Here is a 19,276-nt window from a genome sequence, read left to right as displayed (position 1 = left end):
GGGGAATTGGTACGTTCGTGATTTGGAGTGTGGCATGATACAGCCTGCATGGGATTCTATGGGATGAGGTGGTAGCTGCTTCTAAACAGACTGGGGGGGAACAGGAAGTATTTTCAGGGGAGGTGACATTTGAAATTTCAATGATGAGTAGTAAGAGTTAGCAAGGTAGGAAAGTGACATGGTCTGGAAAAGGCATTTCCAACAGAATTCTCTGGACATGGGACAGCATGGCACTTGTACAGAACCAGGAGGAATTGGTGTGGCCAGAGCGAAGGCACATGGGGAAGAGGTGAAAAGGATGAAGCTGGAGATACCTGTAAGGGTGACATTTGAATATTGTCCTGCGAGGTCTGGAGACCACTGACTAACTTCAAGGAAGACAGCAACATGATCAAGAGTGCCCTTTACAGGGAACTTGCTTTGGCTGGATGGTGGGTAGACTGGAGATGGAGTCTCACTCTGTCGCCCAGGCTGGAGTGCAGTGATATGATCTCAGCTCACCACAACCTCCACCTCCCAGGTTCAAGCGATTCTCCTGCCTCAGCCTCCCGAATAGCTGGGATTACAGGTGTGTGCCACCACATCCAGCTAATTTTTGTATTGTTAGTAGAGACAAGGTTTCACCATGTTGGCCAGGCTGGTCTCGAACTCCCGGCCTCAAGTGATCTGCCTGCCTTGACCTCCCAAAGTGCTGGGATTACAGACACGAGCCACCACGCCTGGCCATGGAGGCTCTTGTCCTGTTGTCCCCATACATAACAGCAAACAAAGCATTTACTGTGTGCCAACTACTGTTCTAAGATCTCAAAATCACCTAGCTTATTTAATCCTCTTAGCAATCATAGGTGCATTTATTATTCCCAGTTTAGAGATGAGGAAGTTAGGGAAACAGCAATGTAAGGCAGAGTCAGAATTTTAACTCAGGTCTCTTGCTGCAAAGAATACAAAAGAAAACTGTCCTTTAAATATAATTATTTTTGAAGACAATGGATTGGATTAACCCAAATCTGAAACACTATCACAAAAACAAATCAATACTGTCATTTGCCCTGATAACCCTTTCATTCTCATCCATGTGAATATTTAATTTTTACATACAAATAGAAACATGGTAGATGGGATTTACATTCTTCTACCTTTTTGTTGAATGTTCTAGTAGTCTATATTGACTGTGTCCCTGTGTCCCTTTAGCACTGCTCTCCAGAGCCCTCTACCGTGCTCTGACCCTGCCCAGGCCAGTCCTTGGCAGCTGACCTTTGTAGGCACATCAGTGGGTCCCCTAGGCCTCCAGTTGGGTTGACCAGTGGGATGCACCAGCAGGAGAGTAGAGGGTGAAAGGAGAGAGAAATCTTCTTCCTCCCTGCCAGTCACAGCAGATTGACGGCCTCCTCCTTCCAAAGTCCACAGCACTTGTCTAGAGGCTCTTTGCATATGGCTGGTCACTCCAGGCGCTGGTAACCACCCTCATGTGCCCCTTCAGCCTCAGGTGGTAGTAATGGCTCCCTGCTGTTATAAACCCAGGGGACTAGCCCCTATTGGTTTTTCTAAACACTTCCCACAACTTTGTAACTAGTCACTTTATTAAACTCTTCTCGATTTCCACAGTTTGTATATGTCTGCCATTTCCCATGAGCCCCTGAATAATATACAGGACATACCTATTTTTGCTATAAGCCTTTGTCATTGTTTTCCTTACTTTCTACTTCTCTCTTTCCTCTTCCATTCCACTCAATCCACCACCCAAATGTTTACCTCTGTGTTGGGGGTTTTATCATTTCCTCATGTATTGTATGAAAATAAGATCATACCACATGCATTTATCTGGAGTGTGCTCTTCTTTCTTAATCGTGGAAAATTTCCCTAGTTTAATATGTATAGACCTAAGCCATTCTTAATAGCTGTGGTATGAATATATAATAATTTATTAATCTCTTTTTTTTTTTTGAGACGAAGTCTCACTCTGTTGCCCAAGCTGGTGTGCAGTGGTGTGATCTCGGCTCACTGCAAACTCCATCTCCCAGGTTCAAGTGATTCTCCTGCCTCAGCTTCCTGAGTAGCTGGGACTATAGGCACACGCCACCATGCCTGACTAATTTTTTTGTATTTTTAATAGAGACAGGTTTTCACCATGTTGGCCACGCTGGTCTTGAACTCCTGACTTTGTGATCCGCCTGCCTCGGCCTCCCAAAGTGCTGGGAGTACGGGCATGAGCCACCGTGCCTGGCCCTATTAATCTGCTCTTTATTGACAGGCATTCAGGTTGTTTTTACATATTTTGCCTCTGAAAACATATTTTACTACTTTAATTTTTATTTTCCTGATGACTATTGAGTTTGAATGAGATCCTGTCATCTTTTTGTACTACAACCTACAGTAAGAAAGATTTTTTTTCATAACAACACAGTATGCAGATATATAATGGAACAAAAATTTCACGGATTAATATTGTTCTGACTACATGTGGTGCAGTATGATACATTTTCTTTTTTCATTTCTCTCTTCCTTTCTTTTCTTTTCCTTTTTCTCATTCCCCACCACCTCTTTTTCTCCTCTCTTTTGAATGTTGTTCGTGACCCATTAAATTGATTTCATGACCCACAAAAAGATCACCATCCACACTAGAAGAGAAGTCACTGCATGGGAAGGCCAAAGATCCACTCTGCCTTTAATCACCCCTCCCCAGTTTCATCACTTCAACTCTGTCAACTGGGACAGGTATCGAGCTGTGGACCTCAGATGCTTTTGAGAGGCAATGTGGAACAGAAGGTCTCCAATCACAGGGACCCTAGTTCAAATCCTTAGCTCTACGATCAACTAACTGGGTGACTTTTTACAAAGCACTCAACCTTTCAGGTTTTCCCATCTCAAAAATGGTGATAAGAATAGTTCTTCCATTAGGGTTGTGAGGATTAAGGAAGTCAATATACACAAGTCACTTACCACAATACCTCTCCCATAGTAAGGGCTTAAGTGTTAGATGCTATTATTTTCTGTAAAATTGAGATGTCTTACTTTCCTCAAGTCAGGGGGCTGGGCAGTCCCTGCCAAGGTTAAGATGGGAGATTCTATTCTTTAATGGCAAGAGAATGGTTCTAGGCCAGGAATGTCACATCAGAAACAGCTGTGCTTCAGCACTAGGTTCTTCTAATTGCGATTCATTTACGGTGAGAAATTTACTCATAGGGCCTCATCATTTCTGCTGATAAAGCCTAGAAATATTTCAGTCTGCAGGAGGCATTCAGAAAGGACTATTCTTTTTCAGCCAATTAAAAAGAAAAGAAAATAGATATAAAATGGTACCTGATCAATTTCACCAATAATGAGAATTTAACTAGATTCCAAAGAGTTCGAAGCACTCTGGTACTGATAAGCTTGTTATTATTTCATAAAGAAGACATAAAATACCTTGGGAATGTTACCAGTGAGTCTGTAATCTCATGTGAAAATATTTAGCATGAAGGGGTTGAGCACAATGTTGAATAGTTTATACAGTAGAATACAGGAGCAAAAAGTATAATATCTACTGACCCATGTAAGTGTGCTCAAATGTTATTAATAATGTTGAATAATGCCCTGAAACACTGCTGGGTCAGAGTTTGTCACAGGTGGGGTTCTCCAGGAAGCAGATGGAGTCTAATGTGCAGGATGTTTTTTTGGGAGTGTCCTTGGGATCAACTCCCATGGAAGGTGGGGGAAAAAAAGAAGAATGGGCAGAGGGAGAAGTCGAACTGTGATGGAAGCCCAAAGATATCCTTGGCCAACCCATAGGGAGCTCTGGAGTTAGCATGTCTTTTCAGCGTTGTCCTGAGTTGGGCCAGAATGGCCTGGCCTTTGTCCTGGTGGGTTGGTTCAAGAAGAGATATGACTTTGTGCAGCGTGGCTCTTTGTAGCCAAGACATGTTTGTAGCTCAGGAAATCCAGGAAGGGGACTCCCAGCAGCTGGGCCACCAAATCCCTCCTCAAGGGGATTCTGGGTAGTATATCACAGCTTGGCAACCAACTACTCTTGAAGCCCCTGTTGACTGTTCTTGGTATCAACTGAGAGCCTAGCAGTGTGACAGCCTCCTCCCCAGCTTGTTCCTTGGTTATTTCCTGATCTTCTATTCATGGTAGGGAACTGAGAGGAGAGTGGTTATGCCATAAGAGGCCATGGTGGAGTCAGACCAGATGTGTAGGTCCCGGGGGTGCAACTGGGCAGAGAAAACCTCCCAGTTATGACTTTGGGGATTGCCAACGTTTGGGGAGTCTTCCATAGCCAGCCAGTCACATGTAGGGCTTCAGGGTAAGATCCATCAGGTTGTGAAGGCACCCCAGCCCTGAGTGTGAAGTGATGAGACCAGAGGTCTTTTGAGAAGAAGGAATGGCAGGCTGAGCTCCCGTGTGGAAGCAAAGCTTAGATGGAGGCCCCAGGGTTGGGAAGCTGCACCCTTCCTCCAGTATATGAGCCGGACAGGCTGGCTTGGGTTAAAGTTTCAGAGGTGTTATGAAGAGCTCTGTAGAAGTTACCAGGACAGGCCACCACCTGGAACGTGGATATTTTTACTCCTGGGCTGCATATTGTCATCAGCAGGATCTCATTTCTGCACTGGGAATCTTCCTTAGAAATAAAAAAAACTTATTGGCTGATGAAAGCTGAGTAGGCTTCAGTACTAGATTCAACTCTAATTCTGTCTGCATCAGCGTGAATGGATAGGATGGATGTTATGGGTGGAAATTTGGGACACCTTCCCAGTCTAGTGTGACTAACCATCATGGGGTGAGAAGGGAGAGGTCAGAAACCAGGAACAAGACCACAGGCTTCAGCCAACCACAGGCTGAGTAGGGGTGTGGTCTGGTCCACAAGACTTGAGATTGGAAGGGAGTTCTAGCAGGGCATCCCTCCAAAACAGTGAGCATAGTGATGGGGAATCTTGAAGTTAGCACCATTCGGCAATCAGAGGGAGCCACTCAGCAGGCTCAGACCAAGCTTTCACCCTGCCAAGGGGACAGAGCTGGCTAAGCCCCTATACCCGTGAGGTTATAGCTGGAAATACACAGCATACTCAAAGGGATCCTGGAGATGGATTTGATAAAGGGACTGTTGACGGGGTGGGTAGGGTTAAGGGAACCAAGCGGGGCGGGGAGGGGGGTGGAGCACTCAGGGACTGGCAATAACGGGAGAAGCAGGGAGGGACTGGGGGACTGGTGTTATTGGAGCCCAGCAGAGGAGCTGGAACTATAGCAGCAGGTAGAGTAGTGTAGCCACTATAGCCACTCCCAAACCATGGCCTGGCAGGGAGGGAACAGGATGAAGGGAAGTGAAATCCATACTCTGACCTCTTGCTTCTCCTGTTTTCTGATCTCCTGATGCTGCTTCACATTGGCTGAACCCACCCAGAAGCCAGAGAGCAAGGAAGCTTGAGGAGTGATGCAATCCACAGAGTCAGTCTCCCAGGGCAGAAAGCAGAGTGAAAAGGGCAAAGAATGGATCTTGAGGGGCAAATGGAGACTGACCCAGCACAATCTATTTGTTACCAGAATAAAGCCTTGAGCTCAGAACAAGCCCCACAGCCAGGATAAAAGCTAGGTCTACACTAACTGCTTCTGGGGCTTGGTCTGCTGGATTTGAGGACCAGTTTCCTGGACTCAGAGGTGGCTCCCCTACATGTGCTAGTTAGGTGGCCTCAGCTAGTAAGAATAGGGGTCAACAACAAACAAGGAGAATTTAAAGAGTACTATAGTATAGCTAGTCTAGCTTTGATTAGTCCTACTGTCCTTTGGTGACAGGTTTTTCCTACATGGTTGGATGTAAGCCATCATCCATCATGACTGTCGGCTATGGCCTGTAGCCAATGGCCTGTAGCCTGGATTCTCATTGGACTCCCTTGGTTATCCCTCTGCCTGGCCCATCAGCAGCCCATGGTGAGCCATGGGGCTGTAATTTAACTCTCACTCCATTATGTGACTATCTATGGTCTCAGCATGTTGCCCTGGCACTGTCATGGCCTGGAGACCCCATTTCCATTCTATTGTGTTTGCTCACAGATGGTAGCTGTAAAACTGGCAGAATAGGTCCCACTGTTTAGAGCCTGTCTGGTTAATCTCAGAAGTCACGTTTTAAAAAATAACACTAAATCGGTTCTCATATAAACTTTATAACTTACACTGTGTGACTGGCGTCTTATCTTTTGACATTTCTGAGAAAAATTGGATGTGGCTTCATTTTATGAACATCGTAACTGCAGAAGCATTAGCAGTCAGCTCTAAAGCACTCTCTTTCACAATAGGATGATATACGGCCTTGGCATCAGGAAGTAGGGGGCAGTTGGGTACACCTTGGGAAACATCTTTGGACACCCGCCTTGTTGAGACTCTCCTTTTGGTATTTAGAGCATGGAATAACCTGTGACATTTTGTTGTCCCAACAATCTTGCAAGAATAAGTATTATCCCCAATTTATAGACAGGAAGCTGAGGCTCGGAGATATTCCTAATGGTAAGGATTGTATAGTCAGGGGCTGGTGCCAATTTTTTAAATAAGTAAAGTTATTTCTAATATTTGTGGTTGAATATAACAGTCGAAATAAAAGGTTGTTAACCATTCCTCTTAGACTTAAAAAATAACTGGCAAACACATACTGGTGACCTAACACAGAGCAATAACCTAGTAGGAAATGATACTCCTGGAATCCACTTTCATCTATAGCATCGGGTTATGTCCACTTGAATTGTACACATAAGCCTATCACTGAAGCTCAAAAATCCACATCTCCCTGAAAACTTTACTTGCCCTGCATTGCACTTCCAAGGAAAGGTTTTGTTTAGAAACTACGCCTGTCTTTTAGCTACAACTCACACATAGATGACAACTCTGTTGAAGCTTTGTCTAGGGAAAGGGGAGACAATCATGAAATATTGGCATTGCTGTAAAGTCAGAAATGTATAGAAATATAAGCTAATCTTCTGGTTTTATATATGAGCTTTTCCTTATGTTATCAGAACGCTCTTGATTATCTCAAGAAATATTCGCAAAATCCTCTTCCCCAAATTTATTTCAATTTGATTTGCTTAAAATTTAATTGCTTTTATGATTTTGTCAAACTAATTAGATTATTTCCAAAGCCATGTTAACTTTATTTGAAGGGAGAAAATCTGAGAAAAACACAATTTTAATACTATACACACCACTGGCCTTTTCCATAAATGTATAGATATTTCTCATAGAAACATCCTTTTCCTAGTGAATAGAGGGGAGTAACATGGTGAAATCACCAACATGACTCTATCTGCCTTGCATTTGGGAGGAATAAAAATAACCTTATTTCAGTGAAGCATGGAATTTAATTGGCTCCCGATCTTTTCCCCTCATGCATCTGGTGGCCAGTATTACAGCAGAAAATTTTAAACTAGAAGGAGACATAATCCAATTAAATTTCCTTTTAAAAATGTCAAAGCAAATAAATCTAGGGCCCATTAGCTCACACACAGCTTTGCTGTTCTCACTGGGCAGCTGCTGTTTACTGGGTTTTCATCCAGTGCCATCTTTGCTTCCCATTTCAAGGGTGTGCGATTTTACAGATCGGCAGCTACATTTTTTCACCACTGATGAACGAGTAATTTATTGCCAACTGGTTTGACATCTTAAGTGCCTCGAGTGACAGCCAGCTTGGAAGATGTCATAGGGCCTTCTTGGAGACAATGATTCCCAGACATTTTAGAATCATGATTTTTGTATCATTGAATTTCACTCTGCATTTCATAGTTCTTCCTTCTTCCAGAAAACACTATGTGGCATGTATTGTTTATGCTCCAGATTACATCAAGTTTTCTTCTGAGATTTGGGTGCTGTCTTTTGAGTTATCTGGAAGTGACTTGGAGACTCTGGATCCATCCAGTTTGCCAGGAAGTTGCTTTGTTTCAAGCTGTGCTGTGGCTTTCTTAAACATATTCTTAATTTTGATAAATGCAAAATTGCATAGAATCTACATCTGACTTCCTCTAGAAGCAGACTTGGAGACAAAGATTTAAGTGTAAATCATTTTTGGGGGAGGAGTGAAAACACTAGTAAGGAAGTGGGAGAGTGAGAAAGGAAAGGGAAGGAGCTACTAAAGGCATATTAGCAAACCAGTTACAAATGTAGATGATGTAGACGATTAAGAGTTTTGTTTTGTTTTGTTTTGTTTTGGGACAGGGTCTCACTCTGTCACCCAGGGTGGAGTGTAGTGGTGCGATCATGGCTCACTGCAGCCTTGAAACCCTGGGCTCAAGCAATCCTCCTACCTCAGCCTCCCAAGCAGCTGGGACTACAGGCCCACACCACCACACCCCGCTACTTTTTTTTTTTTCTTTTGTAGAGACAGGGTCTCACTATGTTGACCAGGCTGGTTCAGAAGTCCTGGCTTTAAGTGATTTCCTACCTCAGCCACCCCAAATGGTGGAATTGCAGGTGTGAGTCCCCACACCTGACCTAATGATTAGAGCTTAATGCAACTGGGAAACACTGACACTTCAGAGTCATCCCACCCAAAGTGCAAGGGAGCTGCGGTATTCATCCATCAACTCCCATCAGTCACTGTTTGAGGGCTGCTCTTGAAGTGGAGGAAAGGAAACAATTCCCTGGCACTTGTGGCTTGCCACAGGGACAGCCAAAGCAAGCCTCAGAGGCCAAAGAGAAGCCCAAGGGCAAAGGAACCCAGGTGCTGGCAGTTGGAAGTCAGATTGGTGTGCTCCAGAGTGGAAAGAATGAGGGGATAGGAAGGGGTGCTGGCAGAGCCTGCTGCACGTAGACAGTTAAGATCCCAAATTCCAAACCTGCACTGCCAGGAGAATCTGTTTTACAGAGACACAAGTAAGCTTGTTCTCACCTGGAATGGGTGGGATCAACTTCTGTGGATGACTCCTCCTGTTGTAAAAGTACCACGCAGTTATTCCCACTTAAAATTGATATGCATTGCTGGGAAAGCCATATGATATGAGTTTGCTTTGCATTGCATAGTGTAGGATTAATAAAAAGTCAATGAAGACAGTATTTTAACTCACTGCCCAGATTTTCATAAAGATTCTATAATATTTGGAACATTTGCAGATTTATTAGGAAGTACAATTAGGCAGTGGTAATATGTGGATTTCTTATGTTGCCAAAAATGTCTTCATTTTACCAAGGGGCTGGCCATGAGATTCCTTAAGTAAATCCGATTATAGACAAAATTATGAAGAAAGTGCCTTTCCCTCTACTTAATTGATGCCCCTCACCCCATCCCCTGAGCCTTGGAAACCTCCCCTGTTTCCTAACCTTCCTTTGGTCCCAAATTTGATTCCATTAGTCAATTGTAAGCCAATAGGTGTGATAATCTCCCTGAAATTGGGGGTTGGCAATAGATGGACCCACAGCACTGTTAATGTGCTTGTGGCATTTATGAAGTATTTGGACAGAAAGTCATTCCCATCTGGAACCTAAGGAAGAGTGACAAAAGGAAAAATAATCAAGGGAAGTGGTATTGATTCGAAAGAAAGAGCACAATGGGGCCGGCATAGTTAGGAGAGCTTTGTGAGAGCCATGGGGTTTAAAGTGGTCAGGATTTAAAGAAATGGACTGCTGTTATCTTTTCATCTTAAATTATCCTTAATTCCAAATCTCATGAATATTTACTTGAGTTTCCTTGTGCCCAAGTTGCTAACAAATTTGATCTCATCTCCAGATTCTTGAGTTGTCAAGATTGCATTTTAAGTTCTATTATTTTCTCTGTATTGTCAGCATTTAAATCACAATTCCTTGCTCAAAAAATACAAAAACAAAACCACTTTTGCTGACTCATAAGCCATGAGGCAGAATCTTCTAGTCCTGACCTGTTTCATAAGAGGATCCAGTCCCCGAATAATTTCATCATATTTATATGAGTTACATAATGCATTATTTCTGTGTTGAAAACTTTTATTTGGAAGACCTATTAGAGGATGGTGATTTTTGAAGGCATATATTTGTACTGTTTCTCTATAATGAGATTAAATTTACAAACATCACTTAAGAGCAAATATTGCTGTAAGTTTTGTAATGAAATTTTTGAGGACATGTTAAATAGTGGAGTTGAATGACTATTGATCTTAGCCTTCATTGATTAAAATATATTGTTTTGTGTGTGTGTGTGTGTGTGTGTGTGTGTGTAATGGTTTACTACTTTTTGGTGTAAGTAGTAAGTAGTAAAGTAGCAACTTTGTTTTACCAAGTTCCATGTGGTATGAGTTGCACAAAACACCCCTTAGGAGTGGGTTTAGCCATCAGCCGTCTGAATGGTGATTTCCCTCTTCATACTGCCAGTTGGTGGTTTGGGCTCAACTTCTGAGAGGCAGCATCCTTGAGAGAGAAGAGTAGTGTCGCTTCAAGAACTGCCTTGTTTTCTACTTAACTTTTCTTGTTGGAAGTGTGAGGACCAAATGTAGCTATGTAGGACGAAAGCCAGCTGCTTCTGAATAGATCCTTGTCAGCTCTGGAGGGTAGCCCCGCAGACGAGCATAGTTCCGCAGCTCCACTGCCCAGGTTATTATAATCCAGGCTTCTCCACTGACTGGAGGTTTGACTTGAGACAATCTATTTAATCCTTCTGTGTCTCAGTTTCTTTTTCTGTAAATAGATTATCATCATAATACTTATCTCGTAAGGGGTTTCTGTGATGATTAAATAACTTAATACATGTAAAACACTTAAAAGAGTATCAGCCATGTAGTAAATATCCAATAAATTTATTGTTATTCCTATTACTACTAGGTAATTACAAGATTCCTATCTATAACCCTGCACAAATCTGCAACTAGTTTATCATCATCATAAATCATCTCTGAAATTAAGGTTTTACACCTGAATTAGAGATGCTGGTACTTAGTTCTCTTCTGATTCTATGACAATGTTATATTTCATATATGACTCATATTTCAGTGACTTCTATATCTTTGCACAGTTCTGGATTCTAGCTCTGTGCTATATAGAACCGTATTTACAGATGTTTACCAGAATCTTCACCTTGATGTCCCATGGACACCTGAAAGAAAAAATGCCCACAGTTGAACTTAGAATTTCCCTCTGAGCCTTGTTTTCCTACTAAAAAATGTTTTTCAACTTTTCCTGCTTTCCTTATGATATAACACCGGATTGAATATTGTCCCCTCCAAAACTCATGTCTACCCTAAACCTCAGAATGTGACCTTATTTGGAAATAATCTTTGCAGATATAATTAATTAAAATGAAGTTATGCTGGATTAGAGTGGACCCTAAATGCATTGATTGGTGACTTTATAAGAAAGCTGCGTGAAGACATATTGGTATACACAGAGAACACCATGTGAAGTTGGAGGCAGACGTTGGAGTGATGTGCTTACAAGCCAAGGAATGACTGCCAGCCACCACCAGAAGCCAGGAGAGAGGCATGGAATAAATTCTTCCTTAGAGCCTCCAGAAAGATCCAACGCTGCCAACACCTTGGTTTTGGACTTCTGGCCTTCTGAACTGTGAAAGAATAAGTTTCTGTTGCTTTAAGCCACTTACTTTGTGGTACTTTGTTACGGCAGCCCCAGGAAACTAATAACAGACACTGTCAACTATTACTGAATTTAGAATTCTTAGAACCATCCTTACCTGTATTAGTTTCCTAGTGATGCCCTCACAAAGTACCACAGACTGAGTTGCTTAAAACAATAGAAATTTATTCTTCCACAGTTCTGGAGGCTAGCAGTTCAAAATCTAGGTGTCAGCAGGGCCATACTTTCTCTGAAACCTGTGTGGGAATCCTTCCCTGCCTCTTCCTAGACTTTGATGGTTTTCTGGCAATCTTTGGCGTTCCTTGGTTTGCAGCTGCAAACCTCTAATCTCTGCCTCTATGGTCACCTGGTGTTCCCCCTGTGTGTCTCTGTCTTTACCTGGCTGTCTTTTTATAGGGAGGCCAGTCATATTGGATTAGGGGCCCACCCTACTCCGGTATGATCTCATTTTGCTCATCTTAATTTACCTAATTACATCTGCAAAAACCCTATTTCCAAACAAGGTCACATTCTGAGGTACTAGGGATTAGGACTTCACATAACTCTTTTGCATGAGGACACAACTCAACCCATAGCACTACACCTTTCTTTTGTCACCATTTCAAGTTGATCCCCTTCTAGCTATTTCATGTTCTCCTGCAGCAGCATCTCTCAGAGTAGCTCCTGTCCTCCATGCCCGCTTCAGCCACCCTGGTTATGGCACAGTCATTTTTCTGCGGTATTATAGTACTCACCTCCAGATTGATTTTCTTACTTCATGTCATTCTCTGTACATCCAGCAAGTTAGCTAATCAGTTTCTAATCAGATTTCTGTCATTTCCCTGGCCAAGACCTACCAGTGACTTCCCCTAACCACAGCCTCAAGTATAAACTAGCACAGAAGGCCAGAAGTTTGGCCCCAGCTTCTCCTTCTAACCATCTCTCTTGCCACTTTGCACCATGTGCCGCAAACCACACTGGGCTACTCACCCTTTCTTGAAAATAGATTTTAGATCTCCAGGCCTTTGCTTACGCTGGTCCCTATGCCTGGAATACCCTTCACAACCCTAAACCCTCTGCTGAACTGTTTTTCATCCCATAAGGTGCAACTGAATCACCACTTATTCAGCTTGCTTCCAAAATTCCATCACATCAAATTATTGAGCCTTTACCTATGTTTCTGTGACACCTTGTGATTCTGGATACTAATGTAACACTAGTAAAGATATAGAACCTCTTATATACAACAATTAACCTTGACAGTCATATTTTAACCTTGAAAGTAGAAATATAAGCAACCATATGTATGAACTTTGCCTCCTGTTGATATTAATTAACCATTGAGGCATATGCAAAAAGTTTGTGTGTGTGTATATACACGTATTTATGTATTATATAAAATGTGCATCTGTGTGTGTATATGTGTACACACACACACACAAATAAAGTGGCTTATCTGCAAGATCATACTGTGAGTGATCCAGTGTTCTTTTCATTGTTTACTGAAGAAACAGTAACCAATCAGCCAGTATAGATACCAGTTTGTATTTTAAAAATTGGGTTCTTTAGGCAGCAGTTCACGTCTGTAATTCCAGCACTTTGGGAGGCTGAGGTGGACATATAACTTGAAGCCGGGAGTTTGAGACCAGACCAGTCCGGCCTATATGGCGAAACCCGTCTCCTAGAAATACAAAAATTAGCCGGGCATGGTGGCATGTGCCTGTAATCCCAGCTACTCGGGAGGCTGAGGCATGAGAATCACTTGAACCCGGGAGTTGGAGGTTGCAGTGAGCAGAGATTGTGCCAGTGTACTCCAGCCTGGGCAACAAAGTGATACCCTGTCTTTAAAAAAAATAATAAAATAAAAATAAAAATTGGGTTCTTAAGAAAGTATAGGAGGATCTATCAGCGTATTCATGCTGCATAACAACTCCTTAAATTTCAATGGTTCACAACAAGACACATTTCTTTTTCTTGTCTATGGGCATGTAGGTCAGTGAAGCATGGCTGGATTCAGCTAAGCTTGGCTCTTAGTCCGCAAGTCCAGCCTGGTCTGATCCACCTTGGTCATTCTAAGAACAGCAGCATCCTGGGCCATGTTCTTTTCATGGTGATGGCAGAGGCACAGAAGGCCAAGCCAAATGATGCCAGCACGCTAGAGCCTCTGTCCATGATATGTCTGCTAATAGTACATAGGTCAAAGCCAGTCATGTGGCCAACCCCATATCAAAGGAACAGGAAAATATACCCTTCTTACTCCACAGGAGGTTCTACAGAGTCATATGACAAAGAGTGTGGGCACATAATTCTTATACAGGGAGGGAATGAAGAATCAAGAACAAGTATCCAGTAGACCACAAAGTCCTTATGAACCTAAAGTAGATGGTAGAAATTTTCACTTTGCAAATAAACTGGTGTTGAATTTTCAAAACTGTACTTTGAAATGTGGTTCTAATCATATCCATTTTTGGTTTTTTTCTAGAGATGTGAAGATGTTTGGCTTGGTATGCCATCACCTATTCCTGCGAAATACATTGACTACTGGACCTTTTTGAAGGACGCGTTTGGCTTAGAGGAGGAATAACCATGCCAGTTTTGGTCAATTCTCTATGATTTACTTCTCTCATTTTGCCACATTTACTTTAGTAGATATAATTTCATTAAAAACAAAAAAGAAACAAGGTTTATATTAAATGGAAATCCATAAACCACAATTAATCCTATTTTGTCATGTTAGTTTTACAGAACATCATGTTACATTGCCGACGTACTGTTACTATTTAAAATGCCATCTTAAAACATGTTGAATATTTTTATTATATGTATGGTTTATTAATACCAAAAAATCTTCTGATAATTTTTGATCCAACATAATTTGATTCATTACTATATGAACAGAAAATGACTTTTGAAGGTTATACATGACAATACAAAATCAAATTATATCACAGCAATAAGTTGTGATTCTATTAAACATTTTTGAAACCTTTTTGACACGTTTATTACTTACATAATTAAGTTTTGTAGCAACCCACCTCATCAAAATAATTCTTAAACCTCTCTAGAGTAAATATATTTATCTTTTGAACTTAGTAAAGCTATGGGAAGAAAAAGAACCTCCAACACACACACACACACACACACACACGCACGTGCACACACACTGGAAACATATGCAGTATTTATATTTGTAATGCCCTTTTTTCTATCTAAAGTCAGCTTGTTAGCTTAGGAATATATGCATGTGTGTATAATTATAGTTTGACCAAAACTTTATTATGTCTAAAATATTTACAAATGTGAAAGCTGAAGATTTTGAGATTTTTGTTTTTTTTTTGGTTTGTTTTACACACACATCCCACGCGCCCCACCCTAGAGGTTTAAATATTCAGAAACTACAACATTTTTCCCCTGCATTTTTCTAGTTCTATTTTTATTTTTCTTCAGCAGAACTCTTGTCATGTAGTGTACATTTGATTAAAACCCATAGCCATGTACCTCTGGGAATTCAGTGTAAGAAGTCTATCCCAGTCTATGCCATTGTTCAGTGTTGGATGCTATGTATCATAAATCCATTTGCCTGGTGTTCTGGGAGACAATGGAGGTCTCAAAAAGGAGCTGCACCATTTACCTTTCAGGGACTACCCTGAGAAAAAGAAGAGCTGATGACATCTCAAGGGACCCTTCGGACTCATTATTCTTTCACTCCACATTTGCAGCAGTGTCTTGCTGGCTTCTTGGCACTCAAATGTACCAATTTATTCTCCACAACAATGGCCCTTTCATTTTTAAAAAATTGGAGTTAATCAATAAACGATTTCTATATGTAAGCCTAGGATAATTCCACATGTGCTATTGTTAGAATAGACGCTCCTCCCAACCCTTTCAGGACTTAACACTAAACTAGTATACTCAATTTATATACTAAAACTATCTACCATAAATCCTAAATTTGACTACTTGATTTTTGTCCCAGGTTTTTTTTAAGGCAACTGACAGTGCCAAGCCATTTTGTCACTTTAAGATTTTTCATTCCCCAGAGAGCAGGCTTTTAGAAGGATGACACTTTCCTGGAACTTTTCAAGCTGACACATTCGTCACTTACCTATTCAACTCTTCAGTCAGTTGTCTTTCCTTCAAGAGTTTAAATACGTAGATAATTTAGCCCTTGTAGAGGCTCATAATGTAGTTCATTTGAGAAGTGGGGGGAGAAAAAGAAAGGAAGCAAACCAATGACAATGCTCCTGAGTTGTGGGGTGACAACTGCTTATTCTATTGCATAGATGTGTGTTACTGCCCTGGTTGTTTCTGGTTCAAGCCCACAATTAGCAATGAAATGGCCATTATAGGATTCATGCCGATAAACATGATACGTTGCAGCCATACAGACACTTTAAATAATCATTCTTTTTATAACTAAGCCATATACTGGACAAGATTTATAATTTAGAGATAATATCCCCATTAGTAAAGTTTATGACCCAATAAACAGCTCCCACTAGTTAATAAATGCCAAAGCCATAAAAACAAAGACTATTAATGTAATAGAATTTCTGTACCTCCCTCTTTTGCTGGTGGTCTCAAGACACTGAAGGGAAATGCTATCTTAGGAAAAACATTTATTCTCGTTATGTAAATATCAGTGAATTGTCTTACAATCCATCTGGAAGTCTCCCAGCCCCCCTTGGTCCCAGGTGGTCCTGAAATGCTGATGCATTCTGCTTAGGTTTCAAGCAGTAGATAACTCTGGCTTTCAGCACAAATAAATCCCGAGACTAAAATTTTGGGGGGAGGAGGACTGGAATTTCTGCCTCTTCTCTTCCCTCTGCAAAAGAGAAATCCCAACTATTGTCATTGTTCCAGGGTAATAATTTGAAAGAAGTTTCACAACCTTTCCATATACTTATATTTTCAGCTGCTAACATGATCTCATTTTGATGAAAAAGCAAGTGCCACCTTTGGATGTCTGGGTGAGTTGAAGGTTAATATAGGCAAACCTTTTGTCCTAAGAACTAATTGTTATTTAGTATTCTTGGAACTGTGGGAATGATTGATAAAGCCATTTGAAAACCCAAATCAAATCATGTCTTTTCATACAAAACTGATTAAAAGCTGTTGAAGTTCACATTAAGTGGTTTGCTGAGGCACTGTTGTGAGGTATGATGTCGCCAGCAGAGGATTAATTTGCAGTACTTATTTGCCTTTTATTACCTTTTTTACCTAACCACTTGAAAAGTAATGTGGGTAAGTCTGTTGGTTTACTTTAGCTTAAGTTTACTAAAATGGTTAAAATTTTAGACAACAGAGGGGAGATTTGTAACTTTCAAGCATTATAATAGTTTAAACATTTTGCCTACTTTATTTCCTGTATTGCCTTTGGTTCAATTACTGACAAATATACTATTCTTGTTATTTTTTTTTTTTTAAACGCTAGAGTATTTGAAGTTTGATTATTTGGAGTCATAGAGCTTCCAGGCTTTATGGACCCCTCAGTCATGAGTTTAGAATATTTAAATTGCCCTTCCTTCTTTCAAATAGGGCATTATTGATGAGTAAAATGAAATCTCAAATCAATACAAAACACAAAACTCTTGCCTTTCCAACTGGAATTTATCTTGAGTTGGGGTTGCTTCCTAGCCTTTTCTATTTATTTCTTCTTTCTCCTTTCCCTTCCACCACACATTATGATTTTGCTATAAGTTTAGTAGTTGGAGTCATAACGAAATAGGGCCTTCCACAAAATATTTATGATATTGAATAATGCAGAATCCATTATAATAAAGTGCCATGCTCTCAATTACATGTACATTCATTTTAGTTATGAGTATAGATCCCTGAATTTTCAATACCCTAAAAAACGGTCTGTAAATGACCTTTCAGACAAACAGCTTCCCAGTGATGGTAGAAACATATACACGAGTGATGTGTCTCTGCTCTAATGTTTGTTTGGGCAAAGTCTGAATTGCTTCAAGTTGAAGGCAGGTTAAGACCTTTTCAAAAATGAGTGTTTTCAAGTTGACTGAGCATCTTCAGAGACACCGTGCTTTTCAATTCCCAAGAGAATGTAATGTGTAAAAATGGAAAGCCCACTGAGGCAAGATCAATGAGGCTGTTTAGAAAATAATAAACCTGGAGCGATAATGGAGCAAACATTCATTATTACAAAGGGTAGGGCTGACTGTGCAATTAGTTTAAGAGAATTTTGTAACTCACCTCCTCCGCTTATTCTACCAGGTTATACATATTGGTTTAAATATACATTTTCATTCAAGGTCAATTAAGTTCCCTAAAACTAAGAGTTCTGAGACATCTTTGTCAACAGAGTGGCTAGAATATGCATCTTCTTTGTAATTTGTTCCTGGTCCCCAGTAAAATTCCTTGCAAGGGGACTTTCAAGCCCATTATGTGTCTGGTGTGTGGTACACACAGGAGCCCGGGGTCAGCACTGCTGCTCAGAAGCAACTTGGTAAAAGCTAAAAAAATGTGGCCGATGAAAAACTCCACAGTGGCTCTGCAAGCAGAGAATTAATGACTCGCTGGAATCAGTAGGAGCCTTTACTTCTAAATACTCATTAGTTAAAGCAGTGAGGCCTGATGTTATGCAAGTTAGAGAGGGAAAGGGGGGACTGCCCCTCCCCATTGTCTATTTTGAACAGAATATGCACATTTAACTCAAAGTGCTGAATGATTCAAATACATCAAACCCACTATTCATCAGTCTCCTAGCTTCCTGAGCACCACTTTGCATCTGTGTAAAGCCAACAATAGAGGAAAGCTTGTTATGACCCCACTATAATATTAAAATCCAGAGGAGCTGATAGCTTGGTGAAAACATAAAAATGCATTCTCCTTTAGAAATACTTCCACCAAAGTCATCTTTGTGTTTCTTTTTTCCTACTTTGCCTATACAACAAGAACCTCTGACTGAAATAGGAACTTGATAACATTACTTTTGCCTGCTTTTTTCTCCTGTGCTACCACTGGTCATTATTGCTGTGAGGCCACCCGTTGAATAAAGAACAGGAGCTGAACGGCCATTTCAGGCGCCTGCGAATACCCCCAGTTTTAACTATGACTGGAGCTAGGAGAGTGAGAAGGGAAGTGGCAAAAGATGACCATTTTAGAGGGGAGTCGGGACAAAAATAGGGACCACCTTGTGTGTGACTCATGTTGAAGAGTTTGCACTTCATCCCAAGGGAATGAGAAGTTTCTGAAATATTTTAATCTGGGGAATGGAAAGATCATGTCTGTATTTAAAAATCTCTGGCTGCTTTGTGTGTGTGAACTCTAAGAGTGTGTTTGGCGGCAAGAAGACTGATTAGGAGACTGTTGCCAGAGAAGTGATGGGTAGTTTGGATTAATGTAATGTTGGTGAGAAGTGGAGGGATTCACGATGCATTTGGGATGTTGGAGATGAGGGAGAAGAAATCAAAATTATGACTGGGTCATTTTCACAGCTGGATAGATGGTGTTGCCTTTCATTGTGCTGGGATACATGAGAGAAAAATCAAGTGAAGGGAGAATATCAAAAATTCTGCCTTGGGCATGCTGAATTAGGGTGCTTGCGGAACTGATAAGTGGCCATGTTAAGGCAGCTGGATTAACAGGTCTGAATCTCAGCAGAATGGCCTGGGCTGGAGATGCATATTTGGGAATCATCAGAGTATGGATGGTAATTGTGAGTTCGGATAAGATTACCCAGGGGAGGCATGTTGTCTGAGAACCATAGTGCCTGGCATATTACTAACAGTAATAACTTTCTAAAAACCAGCTTTATTGACTTAACAGT

At 41.1% G+C, this 19,276-nt stretch overlaps 1 protein-coding gene across 3 annotated transcripts in view; it reads left to right on the top strand.

Annotated features, from left to right (window-relative positions):
- EFHC2 (EF-hand domain containing 2) overlaps window positions 1–14,994 on the top strand; it is a 195,801-nt gene extending 180,807 nt beyond the window's left edge. For all 3 annotated transcript variants that reach the window (XM_047442535.1, NM_025184.4, XM_006724562.3), the window contains one exon: window positions 13,970–14,994. In XM_047442535.1, coding sequence (XP_047298491.1) covers window positions 13,970–14,071 — 102 coding nt within the window. In that variant the 3' untranslated portion in view covers window positions 14,072–14,994. The remainder of the gene's footprint in view (window positions 1–13,969) is intronic.

The sequence above is a fragment of the Homo sapiens genome, chromosome X (assembly GCF_000001405.40).
Source record: "Homo sapiens chromosome X, GRCh38.p14 Primary Assembly".
NCBI classification, from domain to species: domain Eukaryota; kingdom Metazoa; phylum Chordata; class Mammalia; order Primates; family Hominidae; genus Homo; species Homo sapiens.
The sequence above is the reverse complement of the archived record's forward strand: the minus strand, read 5'-3'. Positions and strand labels throughout refer to the sequence as shown.